Genomic DNA, 24,941 nt, shown 5'->3' on the forward strand with positions numbered 1-24,941 from the left:
GCTCCTTTCTCTTTCCTCCTTGATATCTCATGTCATCTGTCAAATTTCAAAACGTGTTTTTAGAAGATGAAATTCCAGATTTCTGAACCACAGAGGAAAATGCCCAAAGCTGGGAACATAATTGCTACTCTATGGGGCAGCCTCCACAGTAATTGTATCTTACTGGTATCTTACTTCTTCCACTGTAAACAGTTTTCCAGAAGCAAAGAGCTGTGGGAATGTGGATTATCTGTAAAAGATAGACCTTTCATTATCACTTAACACTGACCACAACTTGCTTTGGAGTTGAATCCCACGTATGTTTGCAAATACTTGTTGCTGCAAAGGGATTTATTTCTGAACTGATCCAATGCTATTACTTAGAAATAACTTCCATTACGGTTCCTTTATCTTCTTGTTTATTAGGTCTTCCTTTGTTTAGAGTGACCTGGCAAAGTGTGGTTAACAGGACTTGCAGCAAAAGTTGAAAAATCCATTAGAAGGCTCAGTTGAGAAGGGAAAAATTGAGAGCCTATGAACATTTGAGGAAATGCCAGAGGCTTGTTCAGAATTTTCTTATTAAACCCCAGATCTAGCTAGCAACAGGTTGTTTCCTGTTAAGTGAATAAGGAATGATCTCTAAGGTGCCTTCTAGCTCTAAATTTCTATGAGTTGAAGCGGACAAGGTTTCCTTAAGAGAGCAGGTATTTTAATGATATGAGAAGTGGATCCGAGCCCTTAAGCTCTTTTTTAGAAATTAATTTCAAGGCGCTGGTTTATGTTTTCAGTATTCAAAGCCCAAGCCTGTTATTACTCTGTGGAGGTGAGCTTCTTTAAAGGAATGTGCCCCTTTGTGTGATGTGCACAGCCAAAGCAGCATGCATTTTTTAACTAGGTTCACAGTATTGGGGTAAGTCCATAGGAAGCGTTTGAAGCTAAACAAATGTTCCCTAACCTTTTCATCCCAGCCTGGAGTAAGGAAAGAAATTCAATGTCCTGTGAATTTTAGTTCTCATTTTAATCGGAATTCTTATTTGTCTTCAGTCTCAATTCTTAATCTAGGCTCATCTTAACTTCTTTCCAACACAGATCCTTAAGCTGCTTTGAATAACTCAATACACAAAAATTACTATTCAGGTTTAAGTAGTCTTCTTTAAGCAGCCCAGGTATGAGGAAGAAACTGAGCTCTGACAGACTAGTAATAGCTAACATGCCAGGCCTTACAGCTAAGGGCCTTACATCAACTCATTTAATCTTGTAATTACCCTGTGAAATAGGGACAATTAAGATCACCGTGTTATCCTCGGAGAAAATTAAGGCATAGTAAGTTTCCCAAAGTTACATAGATATTAAGTGACAGAGACAAGTTACAAACCCAGGTTCCTAATATGACCTTACAAGAGCTCTATATTAGACAGATTTACCTTGAACTGATCCCCAGAGATTCTGATTCATTTACAGTGGGATGGGATGGGATGAGATGGGGCTGGAGGCAGTTGTCTACAAAAGCTGGCTCATCCAGGCTCACAAGAACCAATTGTAAGATTTTCAGAAATTCAATCAGCCAGTTAACTTCACAATTTCATGTTTGTTGCTTGAAATTGTTCATAATGGGAGTAGTTACGAGTAATCAACAATTGCTACAAGCTAGACCCTTCCTCTTTCCCCTACCCTCACATGACTGGTTGTTAAATACCACCAAGTAGAGACTAGTTATTATTATTTTTTGAGATGGAGTCTCACTCTGTCACTCAGGCTGGCATGCAGTGGCGTGATCTCTGCTCACTGCAACCTCCACCTCCTGGGTTCCAGTGATTCTCTTGTCTCAGCCTCCAGAGTAGCAGGGACTACAGGTATGCGCCACCACACTCAGCTTATTTTTTTGTATTTTTAGTAGACACAAGGTTTCACCATGTTGGTCAGGCTGCTCTCAAACTCCTGACCTCAAGTGATCCACCAGTCTCAGCCTCCCAAAGTGCTGGGATTACAGGCATGAGTCACTGCACCTGACCTAGCTAACATTTTTAAATTCTGCTGATTCTAACAAGGCAGTGGGGTTGATAACTAACTATTCCTGGTACATAGTTAACTCTGGTTTCTTTAAGGGGTGATATTAGAGGATACAGAAGGTGGGCCATTCACTTTTTACTACATAATGTGTTTGATACAAGTATACATTTCTTTTATAAAATAATATACCAAGTTAAAGAAAACAATAAATATATTTTTCAAGGTTTCCTTTGTCATTTACTTATGGATATAGAAAAAGCAGTTGATGTTGTCCTTGAGGCTTGGCAATGGGATAGGTAGAGTAGGTAGTGAGGAAAGGTCCTTAACCACAGTCTGTAGGCAAAAGTCAAGAGTTGCTCAAAGAGTGAGTGATATAAACAGCCAAGAGTCAATTCTTAGCAGACAGAGAATATTTCCAGGAAGACTTTGGGTGGCTCTAGTACCAGATGGGGATTAAAAAAAAAAAAATGGAAGAAACTAAGCAGAAAAGTCAGATACCAAAGAACTAAAGTCCATCTGGTCCTGATACCTGGACTTTGCAGACAGAAGTGGAGTCCAAACCTGAGAAGATTATCAAGAATCCGGGGAAACTTTATTCATGAAGGAACTGGGATCCTAGCAGGATCCGCAGATGTAAAATAATATGGACAGGTAAGACCAAGGCTCACTTCTTGAAACTAAAAGATGAAAGCCCAATTAACTAGGCCAAGGTTAGAGAAGACCAGCAGCACAGCTGGCCTGACCACGAGCCTCTACCTGAGCTTGCCAAATGCCAGGGGCCTCTGCTGTGTCCCTACCAGTTCCACAGGAACAAAAATGATCTGGCTGCTAGGACTGAAATTCTGAAGGGACAGTGGGGCAAGGAAGTTTATTACATGTAATTTCACTTGAGCAATTGTGACACACTCTGAATTATAATCTTTCTTGCTATGAACTAGTTACATAGTCAGAAAAAAATCAGATGCCATTGCAATTAATTCACATAATTAGGACACACCATCCCCATTACACTCTCATTTTTACGTGACACGAATTCCTTATCTTGGTCCAGCTTTGTGATTTTTAGCACAAATCAACTAGTGTGGTAAAAGTTAATAAGTAGAAAAAGAAAACAGCATGAATTGACACATAAGGGATGTTTATCAGATAAAAGCTAAAATAGGCCCAACATAGTTGCTTACATCTGTAATCTCAGCATTTTGGGAAGCTGAAGCAGGAGGATTGCTTGAGGCCAGGAGTTTGAAAACAGTCTTGACAACATAGTGAGACCCCATTGCTACAAAAAAAAAAAAAAATCAGCTAGGCATGGTGGCCTGAGCCCGTTCCCAGCTACTAAGGAGGCTGAGGCAAGAAGATTGCTTGAGCCCAGGAGTTTGAGGTTAGAGTGAGCTGTGATTGTGCTACTGCACTCCAGCCTGGGTGACAGAGCAAGACCCTGTCTCTAAAAACAAAATTAATATATATACTTTAAAATAAAATTTAATAAATATTTTTTAAAGCTAAAATATAAAGGGGAAGGTATGTGGAACCATTATGTTCATATAATAATTAAGTTATCCTTAAATTTTTATTCAGTACAAGAGAGGAAACTTTTGAGAATGAAAATTGCTCCTAATACTGACTGTTAAGAAATATGTGGATACACACCCAAAAAAAAATACCAAATTGTGCTGGTGAAATATTTTCAGTAGCCTACTCAGGGGCATCCTTTGAAAACAGTATCATCTTTTCAATTTGACACATTTGCTTTAAGGTAATAATAAGAATGTGAAAATTAATAAGTAATGATGATAGATCAGATACTGTCCACAAATCCTCAAATTCATGGAACTCTTTGGAGACAGAAACTTCAAATAGTGTCCACTACATAGTAGATAATGAATATTTACTGACTTGAAAGGATGGTGTGTAATGATTTGTACATTGTACATCACTGGGGCAGACTTGAGATTGCTAGGGTATATATTACAAAAGGAATTTAGTGGTCCAACAGAGTGTATTTTTGATGAAGGTATTTTAGTCACTTACTGAAATAAAATAGGGGTCTTTCATAGGTTGCACTTAGAATGATATGTACTATAGACATTTACAGTCTTTGAAATATAAGAATTACTTATATGGACTCCTTATTAATGTCTTTAATGGTATATTTACCTGATTTTTTTTTTCTCAAAATTTATTATTTTATTTATGCTCTATCAGTTTAACTTCTTAGATTTTTTCTATTCCTTTAGGTTTTTTCTATTTCGAGAAACTAAATACTTCAAAAATGTCGAGTCAACTTGGAGACACATCTGTTTTAGTTTCTTATTTCTAAAAAAAAGTTGAACAAATTAGTAGCATTCTATATATGCTGGCATGTTTTTTGCCTCTTTAACCTTTTTTATACTTTCAAAGGTATCTATCCTTTTCTATTTTGCTCATATTCAGGATTTTTTTTTGGCCAATTTATCTAAGACAATTTTCATTTTATTCTAAATGTTTGCTGAGTATTCAGTTCTGTGGCTTGCCAAGAGGCCCAACCTTGGAGACTTTGAAGTTATACAGCCAGAGAGACATGACTCATTCTTTTTTGCCTAGTAATCTCTCATTAGTTGGCAGGTAAACTCCACTTAAAATAGATGTTCTGGCATGGAGTTAAAATTGTTAGTGAGGCAATGACTGAGAAGAGGTGGCACCTCGGGGATTCTATCCCATCCTCTCCCTTTACGTGGGGTTCCACCACCAAGACAGCTTCCATTCCAGCAGGGGCCTTCAAGTCTATAGAAAGCCAGGGCCAACTCACATATCTGTTAAGGACTTCACTGTGTGTATGAGTTCCCTATGACCTCTGTCATAAATTAACACAAATTCGGTAGCCTAACAGATATTTATTCCATCATGGCTCTGGACGTCACAAGTCGGAAATCTTTTCACTAGACCAAACCAAGTATTGGCAGTACAGTGCGCTAGAGGAAGATTAATTTCCTTGTCTTTTCCAGCTTCTAGAGCTGCATTTCTTGCATCCTGGCCCCATCTTTTATCTTCAAAACCAGCAGCATAGAATCCTACTCCAGTGGTCACATTGCCTTCTTTGTACCAAATCTCCCTCTGCTTCCCTTCTGTAAGAACACTTGTGATTACATTTAAGGTCCACCAGGATAATCCAGGATAACTCCCCCTTCTCGAAGTCCTTAACCAAATCACTTCTGAAAAGTCTTTTTTCACATGAGATAACATTCACAGTTTTAAGAGATTAGGATCTGAATATGTTGAGAGGCGTCATTCAACCTATCACAGTATGTTACCATTCATTTTTTAACTTGTTTCACTAAGCACATATTTAATGTGTTTTTAAAATGTCTATGCCTTTGAAGCTCAATAATTGAGCTTTCTGTACTCCTTATTTATTTTGGTATTCATTCATTTACTCTTTTCACTAAGATTTGAGTGGCTACATTGTGCCAAACAGCCAGTTGACTCAGATAAAACAAGTATTTTTAAAGTATTAGGCAGAAAATTTAAGTAACTAAGTATGACTAGTTTATTAAGGGCTCCATAGAAAAAGTTGACCACATGCAAGAATAGATGGATTAGATAAGCAGAAAAATGGAATCAAATGGAAATACTAACAAATCAAAACACTAACAGAAATAAATAATGCCCCTGATAAGTTCATCAGTAGACTGGACACAGCTAAAGAAAGAATCAGTGGAATTGAAGATAGATCAATAGAAACTTCCCTAACATAGAAACAAAACTGTCAAGCAAAATTGAAGCTTAACCAATCAGAAACGTCCAGCTGACTTTTAACTAGAGACTTTACCAATCAGAAACCACCAACTAACCTCTAAGGACTTCCCATTTTAAAACCAATCAAATTCTTTTTTAATCTTTCTTCTGGAAACAGAAGTTTCCCCTTGAGCCCCCTCAGTGGAGCCCTGAAGTATTTGTGCCTTGCACTGCCCAACTCATGAATTGCTGAATGCTCAAATAAACTCTTTAAAATTGTAATGTGCCTAAGTTTATCTTTTAATGGAAATAAAAATGGCCAAGAACTTTCCAAAATTAGTGACAGACATCACACCACAGATTTAGGAAGTTCAGAAAACACCAAGTAAAATAAATACAAACAAACAAAACCTATCCCTGGGCATGTCATATTTAAACTGCAGAAAATCAAAGACAAAGAAAATCTTTAAAGAAGCCAGACTGGTGTGGGGCATGTGGGGACACCTTACCTTTAGACAGACAAAAATAGGAATTACAGTACACTTCTTGCCAGAAACCATATAAGAAAAAAAAGGTTAAATAAGCACAAATCCCCACCAACGTAGAATTTTATGTACATCAAAATTATTATTAAAATTGAAAGAGAATTAAGAGTGTCACCAAAAAAAAAAAAAAAAAAAAACATGGAAAGCATCACCAAGAGAAGTTCCCTTTAAGAAATGTTTTTAAAACTTTAGGCAGAAGGAAAATAACATTGGTCAGAAGCTTGGATCTACATTAAGAAAGGAAGAATATCAGAGAAGGAATAAATGAAGACATGATGGTCAGTTTTATGCATCCACTTAGCTAGCTACAGTTATTTAATCAAATACTGATCTTAGGGTAAATGGCCATCAATCAACAAGTGGATAAAGAAACTGATATTATATATATATACACATATATATGTATATATATTTATATATGTATATTTTATGTATTATATATATATTTATATATGTATATTTTATGTATTATATATTATATATAATAACATATTATATATCATATATATGTGTATATATATGATGGAATACTGCTCAGCCATAAAAAAAGAATGAACTAACAGCCTTTACAATGACCTGGATGAGACTGGAGACTATTATTCTAAGTGAAGTAACTCACGATGGAAAACCAAACATGGCATGTTTTCACTGATATATGGGAGCTAAGCAATGAGGACACAAAGGCATAAGAATGATACCACGGACTTTGGGGATTTGGGGGGAAAAGTGAGAGGGGGCGAGGGATAAAAGATAACATATATGGTGTAGTGTATACTGCTCGGGTGATGGGTGCACCAGGATCTCACAAATAGCCACTAAAGAACTTACTCATGTAACCAAATATCCCTGTACCCACAAGAACTTATGGAAAAATAAAAAATAAATAAGGTACTGCTGTGAAGGTGTTTTGCAGAAGTGATCAAAGTTTATAATCAGTTGACTTTAAGTAAGGGAGGTTATACTAGATAATTCAAATGGGCTTAATCCAATCAGTTAAAAATTCTTAAGAGCAGAGCCAAGCTTTTCCTAAAATGGAAATTCTACCTGTGGACAGCAGTTGCAGCTTCAGGTTTAACAGCCAGAGTTCCAGCCTGCCCCTTCTGACAGCTTGTCCTACAGATTTGGGGATTGTCTAGCCAGCTCTTCTTGCATAAGCCAATTGCTTACAAAAAAGTTCTGTGTCTTCTACTGTTGTTTTTTCTGGTTGAATCTTGACTCATACAGAGTCAGAATAATTTTTTAAACTGTTCTTATTTAATTAATCCAAAAAATAGTTGACTATTAAAAATATAGTCACGATGTATTGAGTGAAATGAATGACAACAATGTCACAAGGGATCGTAGGGTAGAATTGGGAATAGTCCATCATAAATTACTTGTACTACCTGTGATGTGCTATAGGCTTATTTGAAAATAGACATGTATTAGTTAAAAATGTATATTGTAAACTCAAGGACAGCCACTAATTTTTTTAAAGTATAATTGATACGCTAAAAAAGATAAAATGGGATCATATTAAATGCTCAATTAAAGAGAGGAGGAAAGAAACAAAGAACTCATAAGTATAAATGATTAAGTAAATGAGAGCATCATGCTGTACATAATATATACAACTAAATAAATCCTTAGACTTTTTAATTTAAAAAAAGACTCAAATTGATATAGATATACAGCTCTCAAGGAGGTAGAGTATAACTTCCCGTGAGTGTGGGCTCACAGTGACTTCATTGCAAAGAGTATATTGTGGAAAGGGGGGAGGGAAATAACTTTACAGTGGAGAAATCTTTCAATAATCTATGACATCCAACATAATGTCTTATTAGCCCTTATCAAGCCTAATATCAGCAGGAATAAGCCATGTTACCATTGATGTGATGTGATGAGAATGGCACTTTGCCACTTCGGTATTCTTCCCCAAAACTCATAACCTCAATTTAATCATAAGAAAAACATCAACCGAATCTCAATTGTGAGACTTTCTAAAATTACCTAAACAGTACTCAAAACTGTCAGGGTCATCAAAAACAAGGAAAGTCTGAGAATGTGCCATAGTATGAGACGCATAAGGAGATATGACAACTAAATGTAATGTGGACTCCTGGAACAGAAATAGGACATTAGGCAAAAGCAAAGGAGATCTGAATAAATTGTGGGCTTTGGTATAAAATATACTAATTATAAGTGTGTGCATATATGTACTTAGACATAATTAGAATTTTAATTTGAATGTATTTAATTGTAAGTAAAATTGAGCATCTTTTCATGTATTTAATTCTTTTTTATAAGGACAGAATTTTTTGCAAATTAGTTATGTATCAGAAGGAAGGAAAGAAAGGAAAAAAGAAAGAAGAAAAGAAGGAAGGAATGAAGGAAGGACATGCTGAAACAGGGAGTGGATTTCCCATTTTAACACTTTTAATTCATTTTACTTATATCAGTCCTAACTTTGATTTTAAATTCTATTATAGTCTAGTTTTTTAAAATTTTTAAACTTTTATTCTTAATCTTTAATTTTAATTTACATTAATATTTTAATTATTAACTTTCAGTCACTTCTTTTTTTAAATTACCATTTCTACAGTATTCCCTTCTTTTATACAAATTTGTTTTGTTTATAACAAGTACTGACCTGTTTATGAAGTATGTTCTAACTGCAGTGAGAAAGCCAGCATCACGAATATGAAAGCTGGGAAAATTACTTTCCTGCTTGTATTATTAGCTATTGCTGCATAAAATTCACCCCAAAATGTAGTGGCTGAAAACAATAGTCATTTATTATATCTCCATGATATCAGTGAGTCAGGAATTCATACTGGGACCACAGAGCAGCTTGTCCCTACTTCATTACGTCTGGACCTCAGCTGGAAGGCTTAAAATCTTGTGCCTAGAATCATCCAAAGGCTGCTTACTGAAGGCTTTTTGAAATCATTTGAGTCCAGCTGTCAGCTGAGGTCTGAGCTGGGGCTATGGGCCAGAATACACACACATGGACTCACCACGTGGTCTGGGCTTCCACACAGCCTGGTGGCTATGTTCTAAAAGTAAGCGAGCTAAGAGAAAAAAGAGGAATCCATACTGCTTAATTACAACCTGGACTTGAAAGTCACACAGCATCACTTTTACCATGTCCTATTGGTCAAGGCAGTTCCAAATGTGTATTCAGTTTTAACGAGGAGACAACATTGTCAATGTCATATTCTTTAACAAGCATATGGGATGGGATACATATTGGTGAAGCCATATTTAGAAAATACAATTTGCCAGATTATCAGATACATCTGAAACAATCCTTTATGTTTCTTACAAATAAACTTTGTGGCTTCCAAGTTTGGCTATAAAAATAGACAAACAGATAGGTAAACAGACTTCACCTGGTTAACTTAGAATAATTTGGTACAACACATTTCTCTGTCCCAATTGGTTGATCAATGGTTGCTTCTCCCACATATTGTCAACTACTCCCATATTCTACAAATATTTTAGAGTCCATGTTCCGGTCACTGCACTAGGGTCTGGAGAAATATTGGTAGTATTACAGAATCCCTGCCCTTAATGAGCTACAGGTTTATGGGCAACACAGAAAGCAAGCAGGAAATTATAATTCAATGTGTTTCATATGTTAACAATGGTAAGTATTGGGTGCTGTGGAAGCACTTGGAATAGACACATTACCTAGGCCTGGGAATTGGGAACAACTTCCCAGAAGTACCATATGACTTAGAATGAATAAGTAGGAGCTATCCAGGAAATTGGTATCCGTGATGGAGGAAGGGAATGGGTAAAAGTATTCAAAACAGAGGGAAAAACAGGTTTACACTTCTAGGAGCAAGAGAAAATGTGGCATAGTCATCGATCAGACCTTGTAATCCCAAGGTGCTATGCCCAGGGCCTCAAATGTACTATGCAAAGCAGCTGAGATTATAAGTCCAGCTCAGAGACCCCTTCAGGTCTACTATACCCTCTGTGAGAGACTGACTTTTGTCAGGTTTTGTCCACTTATATATCCCCAGTGTCTAGTATACCTAGCACATAGGGATGCAATAAGTATTTGTGGCTTCATACTTGGATTCCTGTCTCTGAATATTGACTTTGAATGAAAACGCTACTGGACAGTCTTGCTATTCATTATTTTCCATCCTAGATGCAGCCTTTTGGCTCAGGCTCAGCTCCATAAATTGTGGCCTGAAGAAAAGACCTGCCGTCATAGGCTTCCCAGCTCCAACCCAGGCCAGCAACCAAAGCTACTGCTCCTCTGAAAGTTCTGTCAAGCACTTAAAGAGCTAACAGGGCATTTGAAAATTCATGGTCCCCAGTGTCTTCAACTAAGATATGACAGAAGCCATGGCAGTAGACCTGGAGTTGGTTATATCTAGAGAATGATATGGCTCACACTAATACCTTTGCCCTACCTTGGTAAGGACACAAGTGATGCTCACTGTCCTGATATACATGCCTGCAAGAAGATATAACTGAAGGGCTTTATCCATATAGCTGAGCTTATTGCACCAGCCTCAATCTAAAATTACATATATGATAGAATGTTATTTCAGCCTTGAAAAAGAAGGAAACCCTGCCATTTGTGACAATATGAATGAATCCAGAGACATTAAGTAAAACAAGCCAGACACTGCAAGACAAATACTGCGTGAATTTATTTGGATGTAGACTCTTTAAAAATTAAACTCATAGAAACAGAATAGAAGGGTCCTAGGGGTGAGGGGAGTAAAGAATGAGGAGACTTTGGTTAAAGGGTACAAATATGTAGTCATAAAATGAGTAAGTTCGGACACCTAATGTACAGCTTTATTACTATACTTAATAATGTACACTTGAAGTTTGCTGAAAGTAGATCTTTTTTTTTTTGAAATGGAATCTCGCTCTGTCACCAAGGCTGGAGTGCAGTGGCATGATCTTGGCTCACTGCAACCTCCGCCTCCTGGGTTCAAAGTGATTCTCCTGCCTCAGCCTCCCAAGTAGCTGTGTTTACAGGCATGCGCCACCATGCCCAGCTAATTTTTTTTTAAAGTAGAGATGGGGTTTTGCCACATTGGCCAGGCTGGTCTCAAACTCCTGACCTCAGGTGATCTGCCCACCTCAACTTCCCAAAGTGCAGAGATTACAGGCGTGAGCCACTGTGCCAAGCAGATCTTATGTATTCTTATCAGAAAAAAGATAACAATGTAAGTGATAAATTAATTCGATTGAATGCAGCTATCCTTCATTTCACAATGTGTATGTATTTCAAAATATCATTCTGCATATCTTGACTATAATTTTTATTTGATTGTACCTCAAAAAAGATGAAAAATATTTTTAAAATACTCATCTATATTGTGGTTCATCTATCCCATCTGCTTTGTCAGTAGTAGGATAGAAAATATTTTGCAAACCCCAATTATTACCACCCAGCTCACTTTTCCCGCTTCTTTCATCCAACTGGCTGGACTTAGGATTCCATGACAGTAGAGAATTTCCAACCTCAGAATTTACTGGTCAGCTTACACTAGTGATTCAATAAGATCATAGAAACAAGGCTCTCCAACACAGAGACAATCCCCGTGGTGTTTAATATTATGTGTTTGCAACATATCTAGTTTTTCATACATTGCTATTTTAGATCATTTTCTCCTTAGTCAAATGGAGGAAATTTATGAAAGAAGGTAAATGTGGGTTGGAAACCTTATCTCTTTCAACCTCAAAGAGGTTGTCATAGGATCTTTCATCCTCCTAAGACAATACTACCTTCCATTCTTTCCTTTCCTCCTGCCAAATTTGACTTGGAGATCCGGCTAGATTTTGATGACTTAAGTCTATTCCATCATATAAGGAAAATAATGTTAAGAAAACATTTATGTTAAGAATGTCGTAAATCACACTGCAGAAGCTAAGACCCTGAGGTTTACCTGGGTAATTACTTTGTGGCACCAATGGAAACCAAGACCTTTTGTCCCAAAGTATGTCAAGTCTTTGCCTCTGTGTACCTGGGTGTGGTAATGTTCTCTCCTACAAGTGGCTTTGATGGGTTCCTGTGTTAGCATTGTTCACGCTTACTCTGAATGGCAGGCACACACTTATCAAATGACTTACCTTTATTAATTCTAATGATATGCTACTGTCTAAGGCAGTTCTTATTCCCTCCAAATGTGGAGATGCACAGCAGCTTAAATTCAGCCACAGAATTTTCCAAAACCTGCTAATTAGCTTCAGCCTTGGCCTTGGCCTTCAGAAGGCCAAACAGTCAAATGCAAACTTCAGCATCACTTCTGAAATTCCTAAATTTGCAGCTTATCAATTTTCTTGTGAATGTTTGGTTGTCATCATAGTTACCCTGTCTAACAACGTCTAATAACTTCTTGTTTGCATTCGTTATAGCCTTCATTATACCTGGATCAGTGATGATTTTCATGGCTGTTGTACATACTTTTAAAGATTTTTTTCTCCTTTTAAATCTTGAGTTGACAGTCTGCTTTTAATTATTCCTTGCAAATATGAATAATTCCTTAAAAGGATTTTTTGAAATGCTTAAGCCTTAAATAAAAGCAAAAATTAATGTTTTTAAAAGTTATTTTGTTTTCATTTTTAGTGTTAACTCCCTAAAAATTTCACGAAGTTTAGAATTATATCTACTCTCTATTGTTGTAATGTATTTCTATAAACATATGTCTAACTGCATATTCTTTCTAAAGGCATTGAGTTAAAATACTCTTCATATGTTAATAACCATCAATCTGTTACCCTATTTAGCTATTTAAGAATTCTCACTTATTCTGTATAAAACAACTTTTTAATTCATCTTTAATTATTACTCATTTGTCTTCAAATATTTGATAACATTTTGACACATAAGGCACATGAAAATATTATGTTGCTCTAGGTCATATTTAATGTGCATACCTATATTTGAAAATGAGGTCCTATACTAAAAATTACTCCAAAAGCATGCCTTGCTCATGTCACTGACTTTTTGTGTTGACAAGATATGGTAGCAATCTACCTTATTAAAAGCACATAAGCTGGGATGCCGGAAATGAAGTAAACCTTAAGTTATTTGGTTTTCCAAGGGTTAAAACGGAAGCCTCAGAGGATATGTGAACCGAACACTGTGGCCCACGTTGCCCAGTGGTGCACTTAGGAGATCGAAGGGAAATCCCATTTCCTAGCACGGTCAGCAGGCCAGTGTAACAAGACACACAGGATTGAAAACCGCAGCTTTAGGATTGGTTAGATACCTTTCCCAAAGATTCTCTTCATATTCTAGCTCTCAGGCAACCGTGGCTTCAGGCTTTGACAAATATATAAAACTGTATTCATGTGAAAGGTAATTCCTTTGTAGTAGCTATTTTACTGCACCTTCCACATTCGTAGGTAGGCTCACTCCCCTCTCATGGTTGTTTACATAAAATGTATAAGCTGAAACTGTAGATGAAGAAAAACCCTTCTTTGACACGCTCAGGTTTCCAAGTGTCAGTTTTTTACATGGTCACGGTACCAAAATTTGTCTCTACTGTTAAATAATTCACGAACTCATCTGGGCCTGAGAAAAATAATTGATTCAGTGGAATTCTTCCTTATCATTCACCCACACCCACACCCACTGCCCACTCCCTTCCTGCTGCCGAGAAGTGCTCTTCCAGACATCTGGGCTCAGCACTTTCACCAAATCCCTTCCAGTCTCTTCCTCACAACCGTTATTATCATGATAAGAACACTTAACATGAGATCTCAACAAAATTTTCAGTGTATAATGAGTATCTATAGGCTAACTATAGGCACAATGCTGTACAACAGGTCTCTAGATTGTCTTGCATAACTGACACTTTAAGCCCCTTGAACAGCAACTTCCCATTTCCCCTTCCCCCAACTCCTGCAACCACCTACTCTCTGCTTTTCTCTGTGTTTGGCTATTTTGGATAACTCTTGAATCCTGCAGTATTTGCCCTTCAGTGATTAGTCTAACATAATGTTGCTCACAGCTCACCTGTATTGTTGCAAAGCGCAGGATTCCCTTTTTTGGGGCTGGATAATGTTCCATTTATATACAACCCTTTATCCTTGTTTATTTCCCCAAATCCCTGCCCCTCCTCTCATGTAAGGGGAAAGAGAGAGCAGGGATATATGTTCTGAGTATACTACCCCACTCTCTGGACATGTTTTTATTTTATGGAGAAAGTCTGATCCTAAAGAAGTTATAACAATAGCAAGTCTATCCTAGCTGTATATTACTGAAAGGGTTGATAATGGAAGGATATATTTTTTGAACAAGAGACATTTCCTACATCTTTCAGATCATCCCACAGATCTGAATGTTAGCTTTTCAATTGTAGAGGGTCAGGTATGGCTTCTCCAATACCTCCAGCCTTGCTAGGGGCCCCTTCTCCATGTTCTCATAGCATCCTGGCCATGTCCCAATCAGAGTACTTGCTAAATCATACATATTTCTATTTGTATGTTGATTTTCCCCAGGTCCAAGTAACATGGCCAAGAATCATAACCAATAGATGATAGAGATGGGATTTGAATCTGGGCCTTTCTGATATCAGAGCCTATGATCTCTTGATTTTTACATTGTAACTTATTTGAAAATATATATGAAAAGTGTGTCAAATTATCTGGAATCACTACTTCTGGGATAACAAATCCTATTACTTATTATGTTAGTGTCCTTCTTTTAGGTGAATTAGTATTATCATTTGTTTGGTTTGCTTAGGTCCAATATGTCTTAAAATGTATGTAAACAGTAGCTATTAATGTGCTTTTCATAGTTATATGTACTATATAGAGACAATATGGGGATATGAAATTTGCAAAGTCATAAAGATTAAGGAGAAATGTATACCATATAAAAATGTCATCAACACAGTCTTGGCATGCAATCAGTGCTCAATAAATGTGGGAAAACTCCTGTACGAGAAGCAACAAGGTTATACTTGAAGGTACATCAAGCTCTGCTGTTAACTTAGCTATCTCACTTTTCTTCTAGTTGTATCTGCTCTTCTGTAAAATGAGGACATTGGTCTTATTATTTGAAACTGTGGTGTTGAGTAGTTTGCTGCTGGCCCTGAACTACAAATCAAGCACACTTGCATAACCTTCCTGGAAAAAGAACATATTTCTTTGGAATAGCCCAACAGTAGAACTACAGAAAGAAATATTTTGCTTACTCAACATATCAGTTTATATAAAATAAGAAGATCCTCAGAAAACACTAAAACTTAATAAAGTCTTTTAAATGCCTCAGTGAAAATAATACGTGAATGTAAAAACCCTGAAAGCAAAGCATAAACTTCCTTTGATATCTGTCCGCCCTAGAAAAAGGTGATGGATTATTATGCATTTGCTTGTTTGGAATTCCATTTATATTCTATTCCGTGCTACAAGATTTAGAACATCATGAAAATGTTGTGGCTATTGGTAGGTTGGGGAAAGGGAGAAGAGACATAATAAAGTTAATCCTTGAATTAAATGAAAAAATATGAAAGGAAGATGAAACAAATTTCAGAATACAATGAAAACAGATATCTTCCAAGGAAAAAGAGTATATCACGTAGGTAACTGCAAGCTTAATAGGTAAAGAGATAAACGTATAGATTTGCCACACTGCCAAAGCTTACAACTGAACAAATACCAGAGCCTCATTCTGCAGATTTAAATATATAACTACTTCAGAGTCCTACTAACTAAATTCAAACATATAATTGTGTAAGTGTCTATTGTAAGCAGTTTTGCAAACTCTCAAATATGTTCAGAAAAAAATTGCTACACTCAGCTGTGGCTAAGAAAACAATCAAAAGACATTCAATAGCATTTCTCAAGTGATAAGGAAATATTCAACTATGGTTTATTCTAATTTAGACCAGCATCCAATGAAACCTACATCTTGCAATTTTTAAGTATTAAAACCTATTTTTATTAAAAACATCAGAAAGTATTGAGCGTTCTTAAGTATTCCCAGCTGGATGCATTATGTGTACTGAATTCGTTATTCACTGTAATAGTACCAGGTGGTCCTATAGGCTTAATGATGATTTGATTATAAATACAAAGAAAAAAATTACAATGGGAATGTATTCTGGATACCTTTCTAACTTATCTCAATGTGCTAACTTTTAGCTAAAGCTGCAACTATATTCCTAACAGAGACCAGGCTGAAATAGCAGGGCTTGTCAGCATCAACTGGACACAACTGTGTTGGAATTTCACTTTTGCCCCACTTTCCTAGGCAGTATCCTGATGTAAGTGGAGAAGTTACAGAGATTATGCCCAGAGATGAGTGCTAATAAACAGACAGGGCAGGCTACTTTCAAATAGTTCCAGACAGGTTGTTATGCCATCGAATAAAGTTTTTAAGATAACTTGGAAGGGAGAGAGGCTAGAACAGGAACTAGAAAGATTCTTTTGCAGCTGATGTTTGGGAAAGGAGAGCTAATGGAATCAAATGTGACATATGCTTAATAAACTGCTGTCTTGCCAAAGTGACTGGGCACCCTAGGAGGTAATCCTCTTTGAATTAGACTAGAAAAACATTTGACCAGCTGTTATCACTTAAATAAATTTTGATTAAAAAATATGCAGGGAAAAACATTGTAGACCAGTGACCTTCCATTCTCCCCTTATCGTCTCTATTTTTTCTTTTTTGCTAGCAATGGCCCCCAACTGCTATATAAGGAGATGAAGCCTCCTTTGTTCTCTTGAGTACTTTTATGAGTTAGGTATGCAAGTTTAGGGGAGGAGAGGCATTTGAGACCTACTCTGAAATAAGCAGGAAAATAATTTTGAACTCTGGTTGATGAAGGATAAAAGAGATGCAGAAAAATAGACTCTGAGTGAAAGGTTCTTAAAATTACCAGAAATCGTAAGGCATGGATTTAGCAAGGGTCTTATAAAACAATATTTAGCTATCAGGAGCATGAAAGGATTTAATTTGCATCTAGGTTACATATGAAAATAAGCAATGGAGTATATGGGGTCTGAACACAATATTGAAATTTAAGGTCAATTAGATTTAATTGTGGTGAAATGTCATTGACTCTTTGGTCTAGAAGAAATTCATGAAGTCATTTAGTCCATTCCCCAGATTATAACTTGGACATATTCAAACTATTACAAGCAAACAATATTCCTTCATGCACTGCCTTATATAAGAACCCATTGCCTCTTTCAGCAATTTCCCTTAGCTGCCATAGTTCAGGGCAATATTTACTGAAGATCTACATAACTGAGTGATGCTCTAGTGCTTACAGATGTACCCGCCATCTAAAAATCAACAGAACTTGTCAGATTTAATGAATTAATCCTTTTTCCCCAGTAGTATTTTAATAATTTAGCAATAAGATTAATAGAAAGTATTGCTGAAACTACAGCTAAATGTGTTTCCAACAAGGAATCAGCAATTATATCAGGACTTTCAAATGCCCTTTCTCTTTACCTGAACTATAAATTCAAATTTGCTTTCGCCTAACATGAAGAAATATTTTATGGAAATATACTGGCCGAAAAGTAACTTGTCAGGGTCATTGGCAGTTAATTGGACTAGAGCCGCTGTCAATTAAAACGGGGCTGCCATGCTTTACTAAACCAAAACAGCAAAGAGGCTTACAAACAATTCAGCACATCATTAAAACTCAGTGACTATCAGGCTTGGAAGTAGCTTTAATAAATAAGAAGACAAGGCCAAGATGAGTGTCTGAAAGATATTTCAAACAAGAGAATTCCATTTAGCCATCACAGTTAGTTCACTTTTTTAAGAGGCAGGATCTCACTCTGCGCCCAGGCTGGAGTGTGGTGGCATGATCATAGCTCAGTGCAACCGGGAACACCTGGGCTCACGGAATCCTCTCACCTTAGCCTCCTGAGTAGCTGGAATTACAGGCATGCGCCACCATGCCTGGTTCATTCTTTTTTTTTTTTTTTTTAACTTCGCTGGTGAAGTGACTAAAATGCAGGCCAGTTTTTAAAAGGAGAGAATATAAAGGAACTAGATAATCTAAGAACTCAGGGTGCATCTGTTGAAAAGTGCAACATTTACCATAATACTGAAATAGCCTGTTTGTTGCTGTTTTTTGTTTTGTTTTGTTGGGACACGGTGTCGCTCTGTGACCTAGGCTGGAGTGCAGTGGTGCCATCTCAGCTCACTGCAAGCTCTGCCTCCCAGGTTCAAGTGATTCCGGTGCCTCAGCTTCCTGAGTAGCTGGGATTACAGGCAAGTGCCACCATGCCTAGCTAATTTTTCTTTTTTCTTTTTTTTTTTTTTTTTTTCTTTTTAGTAGAGACGGGGTTTCGACATGTTGGCCAAGCTGTTCTCGAAATCCTGACCTCAAATGATCCGCCTGCCTCAGCCTCCCAAAGTGCTGGGATTACAGGCGGGAGCCACGGTGTCCAGCCTGTTTGTTGGTTTTAAAAAATGCTTATTTTTTTAATCACAACCAGAGCCATAGGTGCTACATCAGAAACAGTACACTTTTCATAGCTCTCAAATCTCTCTCATTCATCAAAGGTGAAACAAATCACAAAGTTTGCTTACAAATAGCATTCATAAAATAAATATGCTATACTTAAATAACCAACTTTAATAATTAGAATTTTTAAAATTATTTTGTTTATTCACATATTACTGGGAATCGTCATATTCTGACTGAATGCTAATATACATTTTTAAGTATTTTTCTTCCTGTGGATTTGCACAGACCACACACCACAGAATAAAGACCTTTATTGCCTCTAAAAGCTTTTGCAGTAACAGTCCATTCAGATGATCCTATTAATTTTGTTATGAAAGCACTGATAAAATACAAAGTGATTTTGGAATGTTACGGAGTTCATCAGGTGAAAATAGAAAATAATAATAATAATTAGCCTGCTTTTTAAATGACTCCAAGCAGATAACCACTGGCACAATGCCACATATTTCTCCAACTGGGTTTAGATTCTAGCCTTGCACTGATCACCCTGGCCCTTTCAGGGAGGAATCCTCCCAACTAAGTCCAAGGATAGAAATGACCCATACAGGTGTTTCCAATGGAATCGACAGAGCACCAATCAAAAAGAGACGCTATCAGAAAACTCAGTACAATTTAATTCATTTAGAAAGTTCTTCTTAGATAATAATAACTTAATAAAAATTATTTATTTATGCCAGAAAGTGGTCTCATATATTCTATTAATCTATTTTCATACTGCTATAAAGAACTACCTAAGACTGAGTAATTTATGAAGAAAAGAGGTTTAACTCACAGTTCCACAGGCTTACAGGAAGCATGACCTGGGGGTTCTCAGGAAACTTACAATCATAGCAAAACGCAAAGGGGAAGCCAGAAATGTCCTCTCATAGTGGCAGGAGAGACAGGGGCAAAGTGCCACAAACTTTTAAACCATCAGATCTCTTGAAGACTCACTATCCCAAGAGCAGCAAGGGGGAAGTCCGCCCCATGATTCAATCACCTCCCACCAGGCCCCTCCCCTGACACGTGGAGATTACAATTCGAGATGAGATTTGGCCCACCTGAGGACACAGAGCCAAACCACCTCATATATCTTAGACTACTGAATCATGGTGGATTTTGTTGATGCTGGTGCTGTTATCTTATCCTGAACTGTGTATATTAGTTTGATCAATTTCTAATTGATTGTGCTCCTCTCTCCTGGAAAAGCCCTATTTGGAAGCTGATAATTCTGTTTGCTTCCAGGGAATGGTTTCAGTTTTTCTTTTTTGTTTGTCTTGGTTGGGTTTGATTTTGGCTTTGTTTACTTCTGTTTTTGGCTTACTTTATAATCCTCAGGTTTTCTGGTGTGCTAGTGGCTTTGTGCCTTAAAACACAGTCTAATCTGAGAAAAATTCTATGAAGTAGCCATGAAAAGCCAAGAAGAGGAAATTAGGACCCAAACTGCCTTTCTTTTTAGCTTCAGAAGATAACGAGTTTCCTTGTGTGTAAATAAATGCCCTCTACGACTGATGCAGGCAGGAGATTAATTGTTTTGCCTAGAAGTGTATCATTGTCAAGGAAAGATTCAAACTCAAGATTTTTAATCTTGTTTTAGTTTAGCAAATCATTTATAATCAACAAACATTTCTTAAACCTAAAATACTAGACACCAGACTACATAGAAGATAAATCCCTTGCCTTAAACAGCATATCCCCTAGTTGAAGAGACAGAACATCAAGGGAAATAATAGGCACATGGTGCATGGTAAAATGAAAAGGCCTGGGGTTAGGGTTAGTCAGAAGAGTGACATTAACTACAATCACTTTATCTTTCCATCTCTGGTTACATCTGTGAAACAAACACATTTATATTTGCCCTACCTTCCTCCACGGGTACATTAAGGCTCAAACCACAAGAATGTGAAATGCCCAAGCAAATTAAGTTATTGTAATGATTTCATTTAAAAATTGATACTGAAGAATCAGTATTTTACTATCCTATTTTAAATGTGAGAAGTACCAAAAATTCTATATTTAACTTCTTTATTCTACAAAAATTAGGATCTTGAAAATCATCCTAATGGCTAGCAAGGAAAACCTATTTCTTGGTACTGTTTCCTCAGTGATGTCAATATGATACATCTCCAAAGGAGGAGAGAACTCAATTACTTGTAACACCGGGCCCTGAAGATGTTCTTACGCCATCAGAGTTGTTTGCATAATTTTGGAATATCCACTCCCCTGTCCCCCCGCAAAAAAAAAACTCCGTTTTCAAATTCAGAAGATGTATCTGGTGAGCCTAAGGGGAATTTTACTTCCTTTGTTAGTGATTGATTCGGTAATGGTCAAAGAAAAGTACAAAGATGTTTTCATGAGGGTTCCCACTCCCCGTGTTTAAGAGAAAGCTGCAAAATGGAATAATATCTTAGTCAGTTTAGGCTGCTATAACAAAATATCCTAAACTGGGTGGCTTATAAACAACAGAAGTATATTTCTTACAATTCTGGAGGCTGGAAGTCCCAGTTTTAGGGTGCCAGCATGGTCAGTTTCTGATGAGGTTTCTCTTCCGGGTTCCAGACTGCTGACTTCTCATTTTATCCTCACATGGTGGAGAGCAGAGAAGGGAAATAAGCTCTCTTGTGACTCTTATAAGGGCACTAATCCCATTTATGAGGGCTCCACCATTATGACCTTATCTAATCCTACTAACCTCTCAAAGGCCCAACTCCTAATGCTATCACACTGGGGAATAGGGTTTCAACATGAATTCTGGGGAGACACAAACATTCAGTCCACAAATAGCATCCCTTGTTCTTCTGGGTTTTGTCATATGTAGAAACTGCTATGACCATGTTACTACCTATGCATGAAGCTGACACTAAGAATTGGAGATCACAGATGGAAAGAACCTGGATCTCTATTACATCATGGAACTGTGGACTCACAGTTACCCTTAAGGGAGGTAACCAATGCCCTACCATTGATCTTCCTGTTACATGAGAAAAAAAACTTCCTTAGTGTTTGAGCCAGTTTGAACCAGAATTTCTGTTACTTTTAGATGAAAGCAGTCAACTAATATACATATCATGATAACATTTATTTAGCTCTTAATGTGAAGAAGTCCCCCATGCTAAATACTTCATAGGTTATTTTATTTTATCCTCAAAACATTATCACTCAGAGATGACGAAACCAAGGCCCAAAAGATTGAATGACTCGTCCAAAATCACACAAAGCCAGTTGTGGAACCCAGGCAGGCTGCCTCCTTCAACACCCATAAATTTTTTAACAAAACATTATCTTTTATCATATTTGATTAATCCCTTATTAGAACTATGCAGAAAGAAACTTCTCTTTTAAAAATGCACTTGATGAGGCTGGGTGCAGTAGCTCACACCTATAATCCCAGCACTTTAGGAGCCCGAGGCGGGCAGATCACCTGAGGTCAGGAGTTTGAGAACAGCCTGACCAACATGGAGAAACCCCGTCTCTACAAAAAATACAAAATTAGCCGGGCATGGTAGTGCATTCCTGTAATCCCAGCTACTTGGGAGGCTGAGGCGGGAGAATTGCTTGAACCTGGGAGGCAGAGGTTGTGGTGAGCTGAGATCACACCATTGCACTCCAGCCTGGGCAACAAGAGCAAAACTCCATCTCCAAAAAAAAAAAAAAAAAATGCACTTGCTGAATTAAACATACAATAGGTAGAATATTTCATTGTTTTCCAATTTCCTGTTTATTTCACAAGTATGACTAGCCAAAAGTTTGTTTAGAGATCCTACTTATCTCAGACTCTCACGAGCTTCCCCAAAGATGAGAGAAATTATAGAACTAATTCGGTAGAGAAGCCAATGAATGTGTAATTTTTAATGAATAAGCTGTAGTTAATATTAATTTACAATTTTTAAATGGAACTAGAAATACTTCTATAATAGCACAGAACCTCTGAAGCCCCTAATCAGAAAGCAGGAGTCTTATACCTGTTTTGTTGTAAAGGAGACAGAAAAGATCAAACAATATGTGAATTTTTCCTCTTGAAGGGGCAGCTGGTCTGACTCAACTGTGTTGATGATCAGGTACTTGGCTAGGATCAAGACTGGATACTTTCGGCTTGGATGAAAAACAGAAGAAGCTGTGACTACTCAGAGCCAGGGGGACAGCCAGACCAAAAATTGTTGGGGAAAAAAGGAAGCTCAAAGGCCAAAAGATAGAAGCCAAGTGTCAAATCCAAGAACAAAAGGCAAGAATCAATGCAAGGATCAAAAAGCCCCGTGACCTTGATGTCAAAATTCGAGCTGATCAGAGCCAACCCAGCAGGAAATGGGTTTCTAGAAGAACTGTCTCAGATATGTCTGGGCCTTCATGATCCCCTGTAAGGACCAGCAGGTATATGATACCTGGGAAGATGACAATGGCTTCCAAGACTGAGGTTGGGCAGACCACCAAAGATCCCAAAATAAAAGCAAAGGTTTAAATTTAAATAACTAGCATGGCAAGAAGCAAAGTACTCATTGCATTATGAAAATCTGAAAGTAGAATTTCTCTTGGTGCAGCAAAGGATCTCTAGTAAGAAATAACATGAGAAAACATAGGTGTTATGATCGTTATAAAGGTTGATGATTCTTAAGTACATTCGAGGATGCTAAAGTTCTAACAATGTTCAGGTGCAGGGATCAAGTGTCTTTTACATAATCCTTCCACCAGAAGACATCAAGTTTAACTGAAATTCAAATCTGAACAATAGGACAACCATCTGGAAAATAACGCTGCAAAACTACTACACAGCAAGTAAGTCAATCTGCAAAGCTGCAATGAAGTAAAACCGACTGAAGAGTATGTTATGTACTGTAGGCTATACCAATCTGTGCATGTGAATAACTGTCAATATCCCAACCTAAAATAATTTTAATGATGGGAATAAACATTAAATATTTACCAGCTGGTGCACCACTAGATCAATGGGCTCATCTCCCTCCCCTGAGTACACACAATAATAAATGAATAGACTTGGGCTTCCAACAGCAAGAAAAAGATTGCCTCAAAATTGGAAATCAATGATACCACTATGGTTACATCAATAGGTGAAGCGATAAATGGAGGCTGCTGTCATTTAAAAAAATATATTGTAATAACAGAGAAAAAAAAGCTAAAGGGAAGTTTTTCTTATGTTTGCTTTATTTACTTTCTAATTTTCAAAATGAATTTTGACAGAAGTCCTTGGCCATTTGTACTTTTTAAAAGAACATGTTGTTCCAAACTAACAATGTCTCCTAATATGAAATCCAGTTTCTGTCAATCTGTCCATAAAAATATTTTAGGTTTAGATTTTTCAGTTTATGTCTGGTGCTAAGAAAATGTATGACAATTAAACCGATTGAGAGGGAACAGGAGATGGGGTTACAGGACATAGTGTCATAGGAACAAGTAAAATAAAAACACGTTTTAAAATGTTAAAATTTAATCTCTATTTTATTCTATTAAATTTTGTGCCTTATAAGATATGCTGAACCAAGTGTTCCCAAGTTATGACTTACCATGGAAAATTCTGATGTGAATGTTTTCTCTTAGAAATAAAGCTATTGAGCTGTAAGAGTTGATATAACTATTGTCTTTTAAGTTTATTTGAGCAAATGGTTGATAGTAAGAGCTCCACTAAAATACCGAGTTGGTTCATTTACACATCCCTTCAACCTACTCAGTGAGGGACTGTCAGCCTTCCAGCAGCATGATGATAACACCTCCATGGCTGTTATCCTCTTCATCCTAGTCAAGTGGCACTGTGACAAAACCTAAGAAATACCTGATAGGATATGCTGGCACTTCAGCCAGAAATTTTTCCCCTGACTACTGCATTCTTACTATCTGAATCAAAAAATTGGAACAAGTCAACTCTAAGGATGAGACAACAATAACAGATGGCATCAAGGGGACACTTGGGTTGAATCAGAAAATATGTCTCCCTTTTGAGAAAAGAATTGGCACTAATCAAAGGGAAATATAAATTACAATTTGGTACAAGCAAGGAGTCCTAGGAAGTAGAAGCCATTTCAGAGCCCTAAAAATACTTTATTTCTTCAGTTGCTATTTTGAAAATTGCTTTTCCCTGTATAATATTCAGTAGGATTCAGATAATTTGAAAGGAGCAAAAAGCCTTGTTAGCTCTTTTCTATATCATAAAATCCATTCTTTGTCATTTTACATATTCATCGCTGTATTTTCTTGGGTGTAATATTTTTTTAAATGGTGTCTGAAAAGTGAAATTATTTTTCACAAAAAG

General features: G+C 37.0%; 2 long non-coding RNA genes across 2 annotated transcripts in view; one reads left to right on the forward strand and one right to left on the reverse strand.

The window, feature by feature from the left end:
* On the reverse strand, positions 1 to 22,018 carry LOC112268120 (uncharacterized). Its single transcript, XR_002957525.2, has 3 exons — positions 21,375 to 22,018; positions 21,164 to 21,263; positions 1 to 36 (listed from the first exon to the last, which is right to left on the reverse strand). It is a non-coding gene; the product is annotated as an uncharacterized LOC112268120 (long non-coding RNA).
* LOC105370266 (uncharacterized) overlaps positions 1 to 24,266 on the forward strand; it is a 28,223-nt gene extending 3,957 nt beyond the window's left edge. The window contains exon 2 of the long non-coding RNA XR_942099.3: positions 22,705 to 24,266. This is a non-coding gene — a long non-coding RNA (uncharacterized LOC105370266). The remainder of the gene's footprint in view (positions 1 to 22,704) is intronic.
* The last annotated feature ends 675 nt before the right edge of the window (positions 24,267 to 24,941 follow it).

Source organism: Homo sapiens, chromosome 13, assembly GCF_000001405.40.
Source record: "Homo sapiens chromosome 13, GRCh38.p14 Primary Assembly".
NCBI classification, from domain to species: domain Eukaryota; kingdom Metazoa; phylum Chordata; class Mammalia; order Primates; family Hominidae; genus Homo; species Homo sapiens.